This window comes from Homo sapiens, chromosome 12 (genome assembly GCF_000001405.40).
Source record: "Homo sapiens chromosome 12, GRCh38.p14 Primary Assembly".
Taxonomy (NCBI): domain Eukaryota; kingdom Metazoa; phylum Chordata; class Mammalia; order Primates; family Hominidae; genus Homo; species Homo sapiens.
Window position 1 is genome coordinate 66,596,105 of NC_000012.12, and position 20,509 is coordinate 66,616,613.

A 20,509-nucleotide genomic window follows, 5' to 3' on the forward strand; every position below is an offset into this window, starting at 1 on the left:
AATGCTTTTAACTCTTCTAAGTACAATTGCTTCCATAAGGAATTTTTCCATGAATTATTTAGTTCAGATTGTTTGAATAGCATTTTGAATTTCCTTTCCTCTTTAATTTCAGAACTTACATGTTTTTGTGTCATTCACAAATCAAAGCTTCAAAATATTGACGTTTTGGGGTAAAGACATTTAAAGATATTTCTTCAAAATGTTTTGTTGGAAAGACATATATATGACTCATTGTATTACAATAATATGACTCACACTTTCCTAAGGAAACAAAATCACAAATTTTATAAGAGCTGTCCAATGGAAGCAAACTCAGGTTCAAAGAGATGAGAAGAAAAGAATAATTTTGCATTCAGCATACATGATCTGTTGCGGCAATTGTGAATCCCTTATTTCTGCCAGCTATGGCTCAGTAAAGAAATGGATGCTATTGTGAAAGTCATCCCCTGAAAATGAGATGAGAGTAAGTAAATGAGTAGAGTTGATACAAATTCAAGTCATTTTGCAAAGGATTTTACAATGATGGATTACAAGATGAATTCTCACAAGTTGGCAAGGTTTTCCAAAGTCTAGCTTTTATGAATATTGTTTGAACAAGTGTTGTAGAATTCAGTCTATGCTCTGTGAAATAACATGATTTATTATTATTATTATTATTTTTACCAAGTTGGAATTATTTAGAATCACCAAATAACAGGATTCAAAAGTAAAACAGCTGAAAAATCCAACAGTCTGGTCTAACCTGGGATGCTCTGTCTCCTCACAGCCAACGCTCCATCAGGCGGCTTTGTCTGGCTGGCGGATTTAGTGTAGGGACTCTCATCTGCAAAGGTACAATGAAGCGTTTGGTTAATTTCCATCCAGTTTCTAATGCAGTGAAGATTTTTAACGGATTGCAATCCTTCTGCGAGAGAGAAGTGGTACAGTACAGTGGAAAGTGTCGGTAGGCCTGGGTCCTATACTTGGGTTAGCTGTGGGATAAATCTTTGAAAATGTTGTGAATATGTTTCTTCCCCTATAAAAGAGAGATAAAATTCTCATCTACTTCTTAGGGTTGTCAGGATCAAAAGCTATAGTGCTCGTGAAGATATTTATGAAACGGTAAGAAGTATGCAAATATAGTATACAAATTATTTGTCACCTACATTTATTGATAAATAAATACCAGTGAATAGGTGTAATGAAGACAAAGAAGAAATAAAATGGTTCAATGGGCACTAAGAATAATCAGGTAGAAAGAAGAACAAAGAAAGTAAAAAGGAAGGTAATATTTCAGATAAGCAGATGACAGAGAGTTAGTATTGCAAGGGAAATAAAGCCACTCAGAGTTAGTAGGTTCCTCCTGGGAGTGTGAACTGGCAGCCAGTGCAAAGCAGAGGGATAGAGATGTTCAGAGGGAAGACCAGAGGAGCTAGGTTGAGAATAGGGAAGGAACGATGGTTTGGCAAAAGAAGACATATATTGCAATGAGCTGGTTTGTGCTCTTTTAGAAAGAGATGAAAATAACTTGCAGAATTATTAAAAGAGCAACTGAGAAGACAGAAGGTCTAAAGCTTAATGTATGTGTGAGAGTTAGGTAAGAAGCTGAATGACTAAAACAGCAGGTGACAAGATCATGGAGACAATGGGTCCATCCAGCTCTAAGTAAGGTGATTTTTTTTTAACCTTGAAAAGGATTTTATCTGACTAGGAATAAAGGAGTAGTAATCTAGGATGGCAAATATTAAGGTTAAAATTGAAAGGACAATTCTTCCTAATTGGGATGGTGGCATTTATAAAAAGTAAAAGAAATGTGAATAACACCCTTAAACATTTCAAGAATAAGATGCACATGGCTTGAGTAAATAGAATGTAAAATAATTATCTAGCATATTCAGTCAAGCTAGATAATCTAAATGTCACTGCTGGCCACGCTATAAGATGTATCGTTGTTGTTACCATTTTATAATAGCAGGAAATCGTTAAAGAATTTAAAGAAACCATACTGTGCATGACAAACTATTACATATAACAAGGATTTATTCAGAACAAGGCCTTATCATCTGAGAATATTAATTCTCCCAACTAAATAGCTTGTGTTTCAAAATTGAGGAACTCATTTCCTCTCTAGGATGAACTTCTGGTTTGAAATGATTCATGATTTCTTCATAAAATTAACAAGGTCTTTATACGCAATGACAAAAGGAAAAGATTAACACTGCTGTAAGTGGCAATTAACTTAAAAAATAGAAGTCACGCTGTTTCATGTTTATATTTAATTTGTCACACAATTTTTTATATTCTTCCAACCATAAAGATAAACTACCAACTTTCAGATACCAATTCAATCAATATCGCTTTTGCTTTAGAAGTGGTATCTTAGGTCTTCGACTCTTCTCTTTGCAAACACCATTTTGAGTATAATTAAAATCCACAAAACAAAATACAAAATGTAAACATTACACTATAAAAGTCTCCCTTTGCCTCACCATTGTCACTTGAATATTTGAGCGCTTTTCTCACAGTGTTAATAAACAGGCAATATGCTTCATTTAGCACCTTTTAAAACAGACGTACTATGTATTAAAACCTGGGATTCTTTATAAGACTGCTTTAAAAATGTATTTCCTTTCATTGTCCAAAACCTTGAAACAGTGTGTTTATGAGCATAGAGCACTGAGCCAGAAAATAATCACAACAACCAGGCTTAGGTACGGCATCTTGGAAGCCTAAAAGATTTCCTCAGTTTTCTATTTGTCAAGATTCCAGCCAATTAAAGTCTTGAATTGAATCCAGTGTTGGATTTTTATAAAGGGCAATAAGAGATTTTCCCAGGAGACTCTGGGGTTATCTGCACTTGATGCTCTATTTTAAGGAGCTAGTTCTTTAGAAATGTACCCAGTTTGCATTTCAGAAGTAGTGAACCCTGGTAAAATGGTTTTCTCATTTATATTTGAAAACAACTTCCTTGATTTAGAACTGAGATAGTCTAGTTGAGCACATCTTTAAAAGGTTGAAACTGAATTATAGATGACCACCTGGCCAGCCTCTCCATCACCACCCCCAACCTCCACTCCTGCTCCCAGTATCAAGAGTGAACTTACTGAGCACAGGCAAAAGTAAATAATTATCTAGAAGCCAAATCTTGTATTGGTTAAAGGATCAGAATGAAAAAGTTCAGTGTTATCTAATGTTGTCCCAAGCAGTGTTATTGCTTTCACCCTCACTGCCAAAGCCAATCAGTGTAAAAGCAATAATTCCTAATGGAAGGGAGGCAGAGGCTTGGCAACATTGATCATCAGAGTTAAGGAGGGCATAGCAGCAGAGCAGCATGGCACAATGTAACACTTGGTTTTTAAGAGACTTTCCTTAAGAGTGTCTCTTTATTTTAAATACCTTAGAGGCACCATGGCCTTTTATAAAAAGCTACCCATCACAGAATAAACACCAGCTCTCTTGACGTGATTTACTGAAAGTCAACTCTTGATTCAAACTTGTTTGAAAATAGAAATGGAGAAAACACACTGAATGAATCCGTGGCTGATGGCTCCACAGTAGGATACTAAAGGACAAGAGTGTCCAGGGTGCATTTCAAACCCTTGAGCGTAAAGTCATGGAGAACTATGGAGGCTTCTATCTTCTCTTGCGTCTCTAAATGCAGCTTTATAGATATATCCCTAGAATTTCATGCTTATAAGGGATAATCTAGACCACTCTTTCATTATAAATGGAACTAAGGCCCAGAAAGATAAATTTATAGAAGGGCACACATCTAAATTGAGTCTAGATGAAATTTCTTATGTTCTTAGTCCCATGTTCTTTCTTCTTTATCTTATTTCCTTTTAGATAGACAATAAGATTTCATAAGTCATTGGGTCCACATGTTGCTGTGTCACAGGAGTGAGTGAGTGGGCACACTGTACCAGCAGAGACCTTGTATGGTGTAAGTTAATTGCTACAGTGAAGCCTTTGAAAAGGAGCCTGAGCCACAGAGCCAATTATTTTCGTGTGTATATAAATCCCATTCTTCCCTCCTCCACATATTTGTTGCCTAAAGCAAACAACACTTACAAATGGTACTACAGAACTAATTTATGCTTTTCAGTTCATTTCCTTGAAGATAAAATTCAAAAGCAATGTCAATATAGCTCACTGATCCCCAGGATGAGCCTTAAAAGAGTCACTGAATTATAAGATCTATGTTAATAATTTTCCTTTGTTTCATTGGAGAGATACTAAATAGGCTTTCAAGTTACATCCAGATATATAAACGAACAAAAAAAAGGTCAAATGACAAGGAAAGAAATCAATCAGAACCATCCCTAGCACATCGTAGGCATTCACTAAATGTTTGCTGATAAAATATGTGAATTAATTATATTCACTTTTTCAAACTAGAGCATTTATTGTAATCAAAGAACCTGAAGAAAGTGAAACATTTGTTATAAAGCTATATTCCCTCCTACTTCTGCTTTTCTTTTTCTAGGTTGATAGCCTATTCCTTTTAAAGTCACATTATCATCCAATAGCTATTAAGTATTGACTTAATGTGAAAAATCTGACTATAAAAATGGTATCTACATATATTTCCTTCCATTTTCATTCAGATTATAGAATGATTTATTGACCAACCTTTAAAATAATGTCTTTAAACAAAAGAATTATGATTTTCATAGCAGACTCTCAGCCCAGACTTCGATGATCATATTAACAAGGGATTCTCACTAAAAGTCACTACGGGGCAAAGCAGACATTCAGCTAGTGAGCTACTGCTCGCTGAAATGAATGCTCCAAGCAATCATTAAGGGCATCTCAGGGTATCAGCACTGCCAGCCTTTTCTAACGACATCTTAGCAGCTAGGTAATCACCGTCACACATGATGGCCCTCCACAGGGGCTTACATGTTGGTCACAATAAGGAAGAACATGGGTCCCTTTAGAGTGACATCTCATGAGGCTAGGGAAAAATGCCCTCCATTAACAGGGAGAATTGACATGGTGACAAAGGCACAGAAAGCATTAGTCAAGCATACACTTAAAGCAGAAGAAGAACAATAGGAGGGACCATCTGTCCCTCTCATTCCCCCCAATTTGGCCAGTCTCCTCATGTGCCAAACACTGGAGGGGCAAACACAGATCATTTGTTTTGATCACATGAAGCTGGTGTTTATAAACTTGGAAAGCAACCAGTGGGCACCTAAGGAGCAATGCTTCACTCTGCATCACAAACTGCCTATGCTGGAGCTGGGAGAATCACATTGTGAGGAAGGGAGTCAGGTCTCCTCATGCTCTCAAATCCTCCAACGTTTGCTTGGTATCAAACAGCATCCTTGTGTCATCAGGCTGGTTCCTGTTTCTCCATTTCCTGAGACTCTCATTTCTCACTCTGGGCTATGCAGAGGCACCCGATATGAATATGGTTTCAGGAATCTCTAGCTGTGTTCAAAGCTTTGCTGAAGAAAGAAAATTTAATTTCCTTTGGCTGAGACTAATCGTCCTATGCTAAACAATTCCTAGCAACTAATTATGCACAATTGAGGCACCTGCTAAGCCAGCAGACCCCCTTAACATCTTGATTAGGAAAAAATAAGGCATTTGGTGCAGTTAAACATTATGACCATTTCCCAGCAGAGAGGAGACAGGCAGGGCATGCCACAGTGTTCATGCATGTCCTTACAAACTTGAAAGAAAAGTCTGGTTTCCATTAATGAACAAAATAAAATCCGCTGTGGATGAAACAATCTGTCCCTTGAATTCAATTAAATGCCACACAATTTAGTACCTACTATGTGCAAACTAAGACTAAAAATACACAAAAGATAATGACACCTTCAGTGGAGTGGTGATGGCAGAATCATTACTACCTACATTTGAGACTAGAACATGGTACTGGATTACCCGACGGGGTGAGTGAGCATGGGCTTAGGGTTAGGTGGAGGTGAAGCACAGGATGAGAAAGGGAGATCCACCATTAGGAATTTATCTATGGTTTTTTAATCAGAAAAGTCAAGAAACAAGCCATTTTAGGCTTTCAGATAACATGGTAGTTTTGTGTGGTGGGGAGCCATAATCTTTTCAGTAACTGGGTCCTGTGAACATTTTATCCCAGTCAGCATGAACATATCATGGTTGCTTCTCTCCCATAGACACCAGCCTTCCAGTTCCATTTGCTTCCCTGGTGGTTTGACAGCACACTTTGAAATTTAAGCAAGATTTCCTGAAGGATAACTGTTAAGGCTTTTTGACAACAGAGCTTAATTATATCTTTCTCTTCTTGCTAAAATGATGTGTAACTACAATCACGGGGGCCCCGCATAATTTAAAGAAATTAAATTGTTCATAATTCCTGATCCAAATAACCCTATTTTTCTAGGGCCAAGCAAAAAGTGCATTCATGATCTCTCCTAGAGTCAGAAGGCTGCCAAGTCCTACACAGGCTTTGGCTCTACAGCTTTGGTATGTGGAGGCTGCAACATTTCATTTCCTTCCCTAATCTGATGGAGTGGTCCATACAGCTAAGTTTACACCAGAAGATTAGGGAATGATCTGAGCTTGATGGCAAGAAGCAGAGGCAGTGTGCTTCCCTGTGATAGTCTCTTTCCTATGAAAAGATGACTTCCCCCTTCTACCTTCCCTCCTCCCTTTTGTTATTTGTTTTGCATCTGCATGGCATTAATGTCTATCCTTGACTCTGCAGGTTTCCTCATTGTTTCATAATTCAGACACAAATGTGCTCTATATTCCTAAAGGGACCAGATCTTTTGCTTTTTTTTTTTTTTTTTTTTTTTTTTTTGAGATAGGGTCTCACTCTGTCACCCTGCCTGGAATGCAGTGATATGATCGTGGCTCACTGCAGCCTCAAACTCCTGAGCTCAAGTGCTCCTCCCACCTCAGCCTCTGAGCAGCTGGGATTGCAGGTGCATGCCACCAAGCCTGACTTTTTTAAAATTATTTTTTATAGAGGCTAGGTCTCACTATGTTGCCCAGGCTGGTCTCAAAAACTCCTGGCCTCAAGTGATCCTCCCACCTCAGTCTTCCATAATGCTGGATTATAGGCATGAACCACCACATCTGGCTTTCTTTTACTTTTGAACTTTGGAAAAAAAAAAACACCCAAACAGAGCACAATTTCATTTTAAGAACAAATATAGAGTGGTTTCTTCACAATGATAGAATGTCTTCTAATTAACCATAATCTGATAAACACTTCAGGGATTAAATATTGAAGCTAAAAAGAATGGCAACAATATAGCTCACATTGTTTTAGGCCTGTGTTATAAGATCATTTCTTCCCCTACTGCTCTATTATCTAACTCTTGCTTCTCAAAATGTGGACCATGGATGAGCAGCAGGAGCATACCTGGGAACTGTCAAAAATGCAGAATCTCAGCCTCCACCCCAACCCAGGGAATCAGAGTCTGCATTTAGCAAAATCTCCAGGTTATTTGTATGCACGTTCATGTTTGGAAAGCCCTGCTCCAACTGATACGACCAACAGCAACTGCACAGGTAGTGAGGATACACCTGTTCCAATGTCTCACTTGGTTGCATCAGAGGCAGCCTACAAAGCAGCTGGCAGAATGCCAGTCATATCAGCAAATTCCAAGAGTATCCCCAGGCCTGCAATGATCAAATTGCTCATGGAATGGTTTCTTCAAATGGAAAGGAAACTGTTGTAATGGTATGGTTTTGAGTGAATTCAATCTTCCCTTGATCCATTTTAAACCTCTCAACAATCCTGAAATGGCTGAATTATAGGAGTAACTAGATCTATCTAAGGTCAGATTCACTGGAGCAAGTGACTGATTGTAATAATAATCTATTAGTCAATTTACATTTTAAGGTGGAGAGAGGAAATGGTATTGAATTACTACCCCTTAGCTAGTAAAGGTCAAATGAAAATAAAAAGTTATATTCTGCCTCATGGCAGGGACATGAGGGAAGAATCTTCCATGGCACTGTCTCCTTAAATTCTTCCTCCTCAGATACAAATTTGCTTCCTTGCATCTGCACAGTTCTCCTGCAACCAGGAAGGGCTCCAGCACAGAACCCAGCCTCTGATCTGCACACAGGGACAAACAGAACTGCGATGGCCCCGGAGCATCTGGACAACCTTGTGGAAGTGGTCTGTGCTAGCTAGTCTGCTCAGTGATGCCTGCAGGCCTTTTGGGAAAGTAATATCTTTAGCCAGGTTAATTTGTAAATCCTCTCTGAAATTAATGAGCATGAAATTGCACATTTTCTGCCTCTGGCATTCCTATTCCTAATGTGTCTGAATCACAAATGATAACTCCTATGCTTCTTCCTAATATTGTTTCCAGCAAGGACAGCTGAACCAGTCTGTTAATGGCAGTCACAGACCTGCCTCATCACCGAAGAATCAAAATTTGTCAAGGGCTGGAATGTATTCCATAAAGTTCATTTTCATGACCATATCAGATCCCAATTAAAAACATTAAAATCTTAAATTCAGTATATCTTTCACATTTTTTCTTTGTGAGAGGGCTATGTGCTTTAAAGCTTTGGTTTAGCCATCAGATTATGCCAGCTGACATTTTCAGTCTCTCATAGGTTCAATAAATGCTTAGCTTTAGAATGACAATTTGGTGCAAAATTTGGATTGCCTCAGCTGACATTTTCAGTCTCTCATAGGTTCAATAAGTGACTAGCTTTAGAATGACAATTTGGTGCAAAATTTGGATTACCTCAGAGTAATGAGTACTGGCTATTTAAAATCACATTTTAAATTCTTGTTTAAAAAGCACACTATTCTTCAGGAAAAAGTATGTATTAACAGGTATAAACTTGCTAGAACATATCCGAGTATTCCTGGAGGGATAAGAACCAGTGTTTGATTTCATGTAATGGCAACTGAGTGGTAGGATTAATAGAAATCAATAATACATTTGGAGTAATTAAGGTTTCTCCATTTTTTTTTAACTAATGAATATGAAATTCAGAAGTCACTTATATATATATATACATATATATATATTCACAATTTGGACTGCAGTAAATTTAGGGGAAAATTTAAAATAGTACATAGGTTTTCCTTAGATAATTCAAGAAAGAATGTTTAAAATGTTCTCATGGAAAAGACTGAAAGTGATTTTTAAACAAATAAGAATGATTAGTTTCAAAACTGAATCATTTAAACAATTATATCTCTTGACTACTTAAATTGCTTCTTTTTTTGCCCCTTGTTTGGAACGTTTTTGGATTTCTAATGTAAACCGTAGAGAAAAAGAGGGAGCTTTCTGTTAAATCAGGGCTCTCAAGAGTCCTTCTTTTACATGACATTACTGCAAAGGTTTCCATATTTAGAAATTTTCAGTATGATAGCTGCTAGAATGAAGTCAAGACTGATGGGAAAACAAGCAGCAGCAAAATGCAATCAGGATGACTTCATTTGAAGAGGTCTAAATCTTGTGCCAGTGTGTGAATGAGCACTGATGTCTAGGAAAATGATCCACATATATCTGTGGGGCGGAGCATTCCTGTGTATGTTTGATTATTGAGAAATTAGCCTTTAATGCTCTCACCTGTTGCTCTGACAATCGGTGACAGGATAAAACTTTATAACTTCGGTAACTTTAAAACCTGGTTCAGTGGCTCACTATGATCTTTCCTTCTTTTTTTCTGTTAATCAAGTGTAGTGTAAATTGATACATGTCAACTGCAGGCAAATTATATAAATAATTGATCAGATAGTCACCACTGCTGAGAAATTTCTAAATAAAATGGAAATAAAAGTATTATCACCACTGTTTAGACTCAGTTTCCAATACACAAAATGAAAATGCCTCTATATCTAGCATCCTGGAATAACAAGGGGACAATGTATAGTATATATTTATAACCTTGAGTAACATTTTGGAGCTAAGAGCACAGATGATTCTTCCCAGGGTCATTGATTTGACTGAGGAACAAGGGCTATGTGTGATTGCCTAGATGTGTGAAAATCACTGTGCAACTCTCAACTCCCTCTCTCGTGTCTTAAGTGTGTAACGGCCTTAGAAACAATGGTCCAAAGGATGTTCCCAATAAGCCAAGGGAAACCAAGATTTTTCCAGGCATCAATTTTCATTAATTTTTAAAACAGTGAAATAGGTGATGGGACTTTGTGGTAATGGAGAAAATGGATTAAGTCAGAACTTATCAGAGTGCAAAGTCGATGGCAGGAAAAGTAAACCTCAGGTTGATGTCCCTGGTTGTATGTAAGGGGTATAAGTTACACGAAGAAAAATGAGAGTTTAATTATAATCATATATTTTTAGATGCCTCTTTCATTAAACAGCAATCCCACTGGTTTCCTCTATAAGTAATCTAAATAATTTCTTAGAGATCTGTTATTTCATTCTGAGTTCAGTTTGAGTGTACTTCAGTCAACCAGAAGCCTTTTTAATGTAAATGATACTAATAACTTTATAAATAATTAGAGCTAATACTTACAGAGCATTCATGAGATGCCAACATGAGTCTAAATCCTTTATATGTATAATCTTATCTCTTCTCACAATAACTCAATAAAATGTAAAATAACAAAACAGATAATTCCATTTTACAAAAGGAGTAGTGGTTTTAAGAAAGAATTTGTCCTCATCTAAATAGGTTGCATGGCAAATCTGAAATGGAACTGCTATTATATTAAAGCCTAGGGCAGGGCAGGCATATTACATGCCTAGCACTCTGCTTGGTACCTCACATACATTATCAGTACTCACAACAATGTAATTGCACAGGTACAATTACATAACTTGAAGTATGGGGATACAGAGGCTTATAGAGATGAAATTATGTGCCTAAATTTACCCTGGAAGCAACAAGCAAAAATGAAGCTTTAACATACGTATCTCTCTTAGCCACCACGATACACTGTTTACCAAAATTTGATTCACATCCTTACTTGGAGAGAGAGAGAGAGAGAGAGAAAGAGAGAGAGTGTGTGTGTGTGTGCACGCGCACATGTGTGTATAAAGAAAGGCACTCCTTCACATAGTAGCCACTACTGTGTATATTCTGCATGACTAAATGTCACTGATATAGGGACTTGGGGCTGCATTTGAAGATCTTCTGAAATTGCAGTTTAGAAAAGAATATATCACCTCACCCAATTTTTAGACATCACTTCTTCATCATGAATTCTTGGTTTAATTTATGATATAAGATGCAAGATTCTTTCCAGCACATAAACAAATCACTTGAATGAATGCATTTTAGCCAAGAAGCTCCAAGCATTTTAGAAGATGAAATCTGGCTGAATTTATTTCTCTAACTCCCACTCTGAGCCAACCATTCTCTACAGATAGAGGATTTATGAACTTGTTCCTATAAATGGTTTATCATTTTAAAATGAATAAATACTGGGACACTCTCTTTTCTCCTTTAGTATTCTAGACAACAAGTTCATGGCCTTCTGCTTACAATATTTCAAACCTTTTATGAGTGTTCATGTAGCCAGAGTGGGGAATAAATCTTGGACCAGGCCACATCTAGCAACACAATGAAGAAAATGGTGGTATGACTTGTGTAGCTGGCAAGGAGATCGCTGAGTCTGCCTTTCCTTACCCTCTGGCTCTCCAGGCTCATCTCTACAAAGAGCCAAGCTCCATGGCAGAGGTGCTGCCACCTCAATTCTCAGACTCAGGAGTAGCTCATGCAGCAGAGTCACTGGGTAGACAGGCATGAATTTTTTGCTAGACTTAAGAATTTTCTGAGGAACTTTTGAAACCAAGGTGATTAACCCACTAGCCATTATTTCCAAGACTGTCATCCCTCCTGGCCTTGGATCATTTCAGGACCTATCTCAGAACTCACTTTTTTATAGACTTTAGTTTTGAAAATTCCCAAATTTAAGCTCAAGTCCTAAGAGCAGGCCAGTGTCATTATACACCATCTTAGAACCAACACCTTCTTGTCTCATGTGGGCAGCAGGTGGGGAGGGAGGCAGGGGCAGAAATCACATTTGGATGCCTTGGGAATAACATATTTCATACACATGACTTGAATTGTCACATATTTTGCTTTATTAATTCATTGCTGGATCAGGCAATAGCAGATGACTGCTTATCAAACAGATGACATGTGTTTTTAATGCACAATTAAAGTAGGATTTATCACGGCTGTCAGAATCCAGGGAGTCTGTGCTTTTTGTTATTCAAAGCTGTAGTTTGGATACTCTCTGGTTTTACAGTGAGATAGTGATTATAAACACAAAACCTCACAAAAGTGTTAGACCAGAGAGAGGTTTTTTGTTTGTTTGTTTGTTTTCAACAGTCTTGCTCTGTCACCCAGGCTGGAGTGCAGTGGTGTGATCTTGACTCACTGCAACCTCCACCTCCCAGGTTCAAGAGATTCTGCTGCCTCAGCCTACTGAGTAGCTGGGACTACAGGTGCATACCACCATGACTGGCTAATTTTTATATTTTTAGTAGAGATGGGGTTTCACCACGTTGGCCAGGCTGTTCTCGAACTCCTGACCTCAGTGATCAGCCAGCCTCAACCTCCCAAAGTGCTGGGATTTCAGGCATAAGCCACCATGCCCAGCCCAGACATAGTTTTTGTATGGACAACATCAACACCATTTTCAACTCACTAGAGTTTTACTGTACTGCATAGCTCTACCACTTACTAGCTGTGTGACCTCGGACAGGTTCAGTTTCGTCACCTATAAAATGGAAATAGTAACGACCACATAGGATTGCTGTGAGGATTGAACAAAGCAGTGTAAATAAAGTACCCAGAGTGGTCTGAGTTCAAGAAGTGGTGGCTCTATTCCTTTATCTGGAATAGATGAGGAAGCTGAGTGATAGACAAGGACCAGTAGGAATCCCACAGTAACATGAAACAAATTATTATTATTATTATTATTATTATATTATATATATATTTTTTTACAGCACTTATAATCCTACCTTAAAATCATCAACCTGCTTATTGCTATGCTGTGAACTCCTTTGAGTAGGGGATTTACTTTTACAATCATGGGTATTATTACCTCAAATTTCACAGATACTAAAACTGAATCTCTGTAAAACTGAATCTCAGTTACAAATCTGTCTAAGGCTATCAAAAGCTAATAAGAATCAGAGACAGGATTCTAACTTAGGTCTGCCTGAAACAAAAGACCATCCTTTTCCCAATGTCGCCACACTGCTTCAATAGAGGGGGTTTGCACAACACACAATCATTAGTGGAAAGGAGAGAAAACTGGGACCTGACCATTATAAACTAATCTTCATGCAACTCAAACCTATACCTAACTTTCTACCACAATAATGATGCAGACACTTGACATACTTTTGGTTTTTTATTTAAGCTATGGGCTATCATACCTGAGTTTTTATGAAGAAATTCATTGACATTAAATGGTCTATTATGACTCAATTTGTCAATGGAAAATAAAAATTAAAACCCCCAGATGCTTAGATTTAATAGTCCAAAGATGACCAAATTATCTTCATTTGCTTCTAAGACAAATTATTCAGACATATAATTTCCTCACAAATTACTTGCTTGTCTAACTCTCCTTGGGTTATGTCTACCTCATCAACTTCACTACTTTCTTCCATAAATCTTGCCTGAACAAAGATTCAATTTGGATAAACAAAGAAAATGCAATTCAATTCCACAAAATGTGATTGTTTAATTTTGAACTGATTTTGGAGCATTATACTCAGGACTCTTCCAATTTTGCAGTAAATGAGTTACTGACATTTACAAACATCTAGAATAAAAGAAACCATTCCTTCCATCACTGTTTGTCAATTTTATTGTTGAATCTGCTTTGGGACACTTCAATCATGAAAGTAATCATGTAAAACTATATTGAATTCTATTAGTAATAATACCTTAGAGGAGGTTCATTTATGATAACTGAAATTTTCTCTGACTCAGTCTCATCAGCCATGTATTTTGCCTTAAGGTATTTTAAAAATCAAGAAGTCAAAGCTTTAGAAGTGTACTCCTAAGGCCTTAACTGAACCCCATTATATTTTGAAACATAATTTTTATGAAATACAATATTGATACGCAAATCAGTCAGAATTTTTGTGTAAACATTGTTTAAAGTTTCTATATCAGTTGAATATCAATGCCTTATGAGAAAATCAGGAAGGAATATATACATATATATACACACACGCATATATATATATAAACACATACACATATATACAGATACATAGATACACACATACACTTATATTCATATATATTTAACAGATGTAGACATCTACATGTATCTATTTATAAGCACTGACAAGAACAAGTATACATATAAACAGTAGATCCAAAAGGACTCCTCAATCTTAAGACATCCCTCCTCTCCTATCCTGCAGGGCAAAATACAATGGGCAAAAGTCGGAAACCACCATCTCTATCTCAGTGACTTCTTATGGAGCCCTGTGGTAGAATGACCAGGAACTTAGAGCCAATGGTAAGAACCAAGATAGTACAGAGCTTCTGTACTATACCAGGGACTTTGAAATTTCAGAAAATGTATGCTAAATTTGTCCTTTATATAATTCATGGACTTTGGATTTCTACATTTGAGATTGCCATATGACATTCAGAGATGCTTTCACAGAAATTGTAATTCAGCTTAGAGACAGCCTACAAATATGAAACATATGCAATGCCAGGTTCACAGCTTGTAAAAGAACAGAAGAATAGCTATGTGAAAAATTAGTTTATCTCAGGGGTCAAAAGTGATAACTCAAGCTCAGCCCAACAGACATTGCAGAGGTGGGAATGAATACCATTTATAATATGTACTATTCATACATCCACTGCATACAGAAATAGCTTAGAAAGGTTATGCATTTGTGTGCAGATCTACTGAATGATTTGGGTACTGATTTTAAGCACAGCCTGCCTTCACATTTCTCCACTGTATAACTATAGCCTTTATTGGCTTCTCTTTTGCTTAAGACAAGCTTAACAAAAAACATTTGACATTTATCGTGATAGAATAAATAACACATAATGGCTATTATGAATACAATAAGGGTCAGATGTTTACTTTTTTAACAATTAGGGATGTATTGCTCAAAATAAGTAAAAGCATTTGTGCATTACCTGAATATCATCACATTTATGTAAACAGAGATCATAAGCCTGAAATATGTAAGTACCACTGATGCCACTCCTGTCAGCATCTTCCCTCTAGGAGATGATTTCAAATGACATTTTTTCTTTCCAAGTATGAGAGACATTAGCTAAAAATCTACTAGGTCAAAAAATTCTTTTTGTTAGACTAAGTAGAAAGCTTTGCCATTATTGTCAAATATCTACAAACCTAATTGAAAAAAGATGTTAAATTTAGTGGAGAAAGACCAGAAAGCCTTAAGCAACTTGCATAATTAGACCATCTTTTCCCATTGCCTTTACCTTTATTATTTTGATCCTAGGAATTCCTTTTTGCATTTCATACTTGTGCATAATTAAGATGAAATATAATGCAAAGGCTGAACTCTCATTCTGTAAGCCCTCAGAAACATTTGAGGAATAGCTGTTCTATGACTAGTGTCTATAAAAATTAAAGATTGATGTATAGCCACTAAATGATCTCTTCTCATTTAGACTGAATTATGTAAACCTATTATAAATTTTATAAATACAAAGAAGGCATACATTTACCACATTTATCTTTTCTGCCATCAGCAAAGATAAGCTGGTTGGAAATGTGAGAGAAGGCAATTCTTTATTTTTCTTCTACGGTTTATACAACAGAGTGCATATATGTATTACACAACATTCACACAATGCCTAATGTTTCTAGGCTTATCTCAAGCTAGTCTTGCTGCAAACAGTTTGAACATAAGAATGAGAGTTCTTTTTGTAGAGAGAGAACATGGCAAGTGGAAGCAGACAGGTTTTATATCATAAAATATTTGAAACTTGGTTCCTCCATTTATTTTGGTCAAGTTACATAAATCTCTAAGCTTCAATTTTTTTCATCTCTCAAATAGGAATACTAATATATTTTTTTCAAACTTGTGCAAATTAACCAATATAATGCATATAATGACCTTGGTCTACAGCATAGGCTGAAAAAACACAGCCATGTGTTGCTTAGTGATGAAGATACTTTCTGAGAAGTGTATCATTAGGTGATTTCTTCCTTGTGCAAACATCAGAGTGTACTTACACAATCCCAGATGGTATGGTCTACTACACACCTAGGCTATATATTACAGCCTATTGCTCCTAGGCTATAAACCTATACAGCATGTGACTGTGCAGAATACTGTAGGCAACTGTAACACAATAGTATCTGTGTATCTCATATCTAGGCTGGGTTCAGTGGTTCTGTGTGTAATTCCAGCACTTTGGGAGGCCTAGGTGGGAGGAATGCTTGAGCCCAGGAGTTCCAGACAAGCCTGGGTAACATAGGGGGACCCTGAGTTTAAAAAGTTTTTCAAGTGCCTGTAGTCTCAGCTACTTGGGAAGCTGTGGTGGGAGGATCACTTGAGCCTGGGAGGTTGAGGCTGCAGTGAGTCATGACTGCCACTGCACTCCAGCCTCAGTGACAGAGTGAGACCCTGTTCAAAACAAACAAACCACAAAACAAAAATAAAAAAAATTTAAATATCTAAATATAGAAAAGGTACAAATATGACACTATAATCTTATGGAGCCACCATCATATAAGCAATTTGTTGCTGACAGAAACCTTGTTATGCAGCATACCACTGTATGATCTTCTCCATGCCACTTTGGCCTGGTGCGATTCCATGGACCCCTAGGGAATTTGATAAACATTAATCGATCAAACAAAATTTTGTAGAAAAAACTCATGCAAATGAAGATTTTTAAAAGAATGTTCTTCTTCATATGTTTCTATTCAATTACCGGGGAAAGACAGCATCCAAACAACAGAGAATCAGAACACTGCTGTTCACATGTAATGATTTGAATTAATTAGAGCTGAGTTCTGCAGGGCTAAAAATGGCTCCTTAAAAGCATAGTTAAATAATCCCCTAAATACACAAGAAACCTATTAAGTATAAAACTTATCTTTAAAATATAATATGGTAAATCCTCCCAGAGGCATAACTTAGTCCCCTAAACCAGACACATCAGGTGGGCACATGCCAATTCTTTCATAGCACGAGGATATCATTTATTAAATTACCACTTTAATAGGGCCCTAGTGGCCCTAGAACTAATGCTCCTTATAAAGGTTTAAGTTAGAATGAGGGGGAAGATTTGCTCACCTGATCCTTTATGCATAATTACCACTAACTGCACAAATCTGGCTTGTATTTATTCCATTAAGTACCTCCAATGATGTCATTTTGTCTGCACCCCAAATCTGAGATGTACTTTCTGTCTAGGCATAGAAAGGTTCCTGTATGTTACAGTTCAGTTCAGAATTTTAATTAAATAAAATGAGAAACAATTGAAAAACAAGGCATCTACAATCTTTACATAATAAGTAAGCACTGGTATCCTTGCTTTACATGATAAATGATGACAAAGGACAGGGTAGTATCATTATCCAGTTTGGCAACAACTATGAAAAAAAAGAACTTTCCGATTTCTGTCTTTAAAATTTTATTTAAAAAGTGAAATACGGCAAAAGATGATTACTCTTGGGTATTACAAATCATCTCCCAGCTAGGAAGAGAGTTCTGTTTGGAGAGCTGGCCAGGGCAAATCGATTTGTTCTTTCCCTGAATCACTATTAGGGTGCAGTCACTTTTTATTCGACTTAGGTTTCTTCTGTGCAAGGATGAAATAAAATGCTTTTGCATCCTGGAGTTTAAAACACTTAAAACACAGTATTAGGTACCATCCACTTCTGGTCAGAAGGTCCACTTGGAAATCATGTTTGAAGACACATCAGCATTAATGCTATTTTAAAGCATTCACTGATCTTTTCATTCTTGACATTTCAGCAGTATTACAGGAATCTTCCACTTGGCTTTGAATACACCATGTGGTTCTGGCTTCCCACCTGCCTCACTGACCACACCTTCTCAACCTCTGTTGGTGCCTCCTTCCCTTTCTCCTCTTCCTTTTTCAGACCTATAAATAAGTATATGCCCTAGGATTCAGCCCCCTTCTTTTATTTATGCCCCTTCTTTCCTTGCTATCACATCTACTTCCATGCCTTTAAATGCTAAAAGCTCTCATGTTTATATCTGCAGCCATGACCTCCCCACTGAACTCCAGACTCAGGACATACAGCCGTCTATCTGGCATCTCTGCTTGAACATCTAAAAGGCATTTTAATCTTAACATGTCCCAAACAGAACTATTGATTTCCCAACAGCCCTCCCCCACACCATAGCATCCTCATCTCATCAGATAATCACACCAAAAACATCTGGATCCTCTCTTGCCCTTACATTCTGCCCTAAGCCCATATGCAAGTTCTGTATGCTCTTCCTTAGAATGTATTGCAAATCCATTCCTTCTCACCACTTACACTGTTACCACCCTGGTCGATGCCACCATCACCTCTTGCCTGCACCATTCGAGACAACCCCTGAAACTTATCTATCTACTATGCATGCATGACTGCTGAAGTTACCTTTTAAAAATTAAAGAAAATCACAGTACTTCCCAGCTTAAAGTTCCCCAGGGGCTTCCATTATACTTAGAATAATATCCAGATACCTGACCATGGTCTACAAGGCCGTCTGTAATCCGACCCCAACCCATCATCTTCACCTTGTCTTGTATCTTTCTCCTCTTCATTCACTGCTTTCCTCCCACTCCTTCAACGTGTCAAGCTCATTCTCACCTTAGAACTTTGACTAAACCTTGCTACTCCTTCTGCCTGGAATATTATTCCCTTATGCCTTGGCATGACCAGCCTCTTCTCAATTATTCTAATCTTACTTAAATGTTATCTCTTAACCTTGATCATCCTTTTCCAAGCTGCTTCTCCTTTCCCAAGTTCCTATCCATTAACTTATTTTCTTCTCAACACTTAGAACTATCTGAAATGTCTATGTATTTACCTGTTTAATGTCTGTCTCCCTTACTAGAGTATAAACTCCATAAGAGCAGGAGTCTTGTATATTGTCTATGTGTCTTGGCACATAGTTGATATTCAGTAAGTATTGGCTGAATATTTTGAATGCATTTCTAACCTGCATACACATATAATGATGTACAGAAATCCTATAAAATAAGCCAAACAAGTAAGATCCTTTATAGTAATTTAAATAATAAAATCATGTTTTTTGTCATAGAGTTCAAGGACTGGGAAGGGTCTTAGAAGTTATAGTGCAACCCTCTTTTTTACAATGTTCTGACGCTCAGAGGAGGGGAGCCACTAGCAGTTCACAAAGCAAGAGAGAGGTGGAGTCAGGCTGACCAGATCCCCACTGCAGCTTCAAGTAGAGCTGGCTGCTCCTTATCGTATATTATACCTGGGTGGCTGTTAGAACTCACTGATTATACAGTACAAAGTAACTCCATTTCAGCACCAAAGTGTATATCCACTCTACATAGCAAGTAAAAATAGGACTTTGAATCATAAATTTCATCTACCTTAAATGAATACACTAGTGTTCCTAATAAATGGCAAACTTTTAAAAAAATTTTATTTTTAATTTTTGAAACGGAGTTTCACTCTTGTCACCCACACTGGAGTATGCAGTGGTGTGATCTCAGTTCATTGCAACTTTCGCCTCCTGGGTTCAAGCGATTCTCCTGCCTCAGCCTCCCGAGTAGCTGGGATTACAGGTATCCACCATCATGCCCAGCTAATTTTTGTATTTTTAGTAGAGGCAGGGTTTCACCATGTTGGCCAGGTTGGTCTCGAACTCCTTACCTCAGGTGATCCACCCGCCTCAGCCTCCCAAAGTGCTGGGATTACAGGCATGAGCCACTGCATCTGGCCTTAAATGGCAAACTTTGAATTAACCACGATGCCTGCATTCAAACGTAGAAGGCCTTTTTGGGGACAATTAAATGATACATATCTCTTAAAAATATATTCAGGAAAGTTTTAACTGATGCTTACAGTTTCTCTTCATAAACATCCCTAAATATCACTTCCAGAGAATCTGTATAGCTGTGTCTTATTATCTGAATGGCTTTAACTAAGGGATATAATGATGTACATAATGCAGCCCCCTTGAGTACCTAGGGCATTCCTGAAAATCAAGAGAGGCCTGGGCCACAATAAATTTTTGGGATTCTTGGTATTCTTTTTTTTAAATAAAAAAATACTGAAATGGTGTTACTAAAATGACAAAATAACTAAAACATTTGTATTTAACAAATTAACATGTTAACCCCAAAAACAGTATTTTATAATTATAGGCTGTTTAAAAAATGCTTAGTCTTAGTGCACTAGAGCCTCTGTGATCTACTGCAGGAACACATATTATACAATTGTACTCCTCATACTTCTGTGAGTCTCTGTGACATGTGCATGCAAATAATGGTAACAGTCTAAGTTTGAGGCTTTTGAAGGGGAGACCTGGTCAAGTGGCCCTCAACACTCATGACAGGCCTTATGTATCTCTTTGTTTTTGTTTTTTACCTCCATCCAGCTGCAAGCAAG

The 20,509-nt window shown here is 37.3% G+C and overlaps 1 protein-coding gene across 22 annotated transcripts in view; it reads right to left on the reverse strand.

The window, feature by feature from the left end:
• GRIP1 (glutamate receptor interacting protein 1) overlaps window positions 1-20,509 on the reverse strand; it is a 721,908-nt gene that overhangs the window by 248,674 nt on the left and 452,725 nt on the right. For 20 of the 22 annotated variants that reach the window (NM_001379351.1, NM_001379349.1, NM_001439323.1 and 17 more), the window contains exon 2: window positions 743-823. The exons of the other annotated variants lie outside the window; for them this stretch is intronic. In NM_001379351.1, coding sequence (NP_001366280.1) covers window positions 743-823 — 81 coding nt within the window. The remainder of the gene's footprint in view (window positions 1-742; window positions 824-20,509) is intronic. 22 annotated transcript variants of the gene reach the window in all.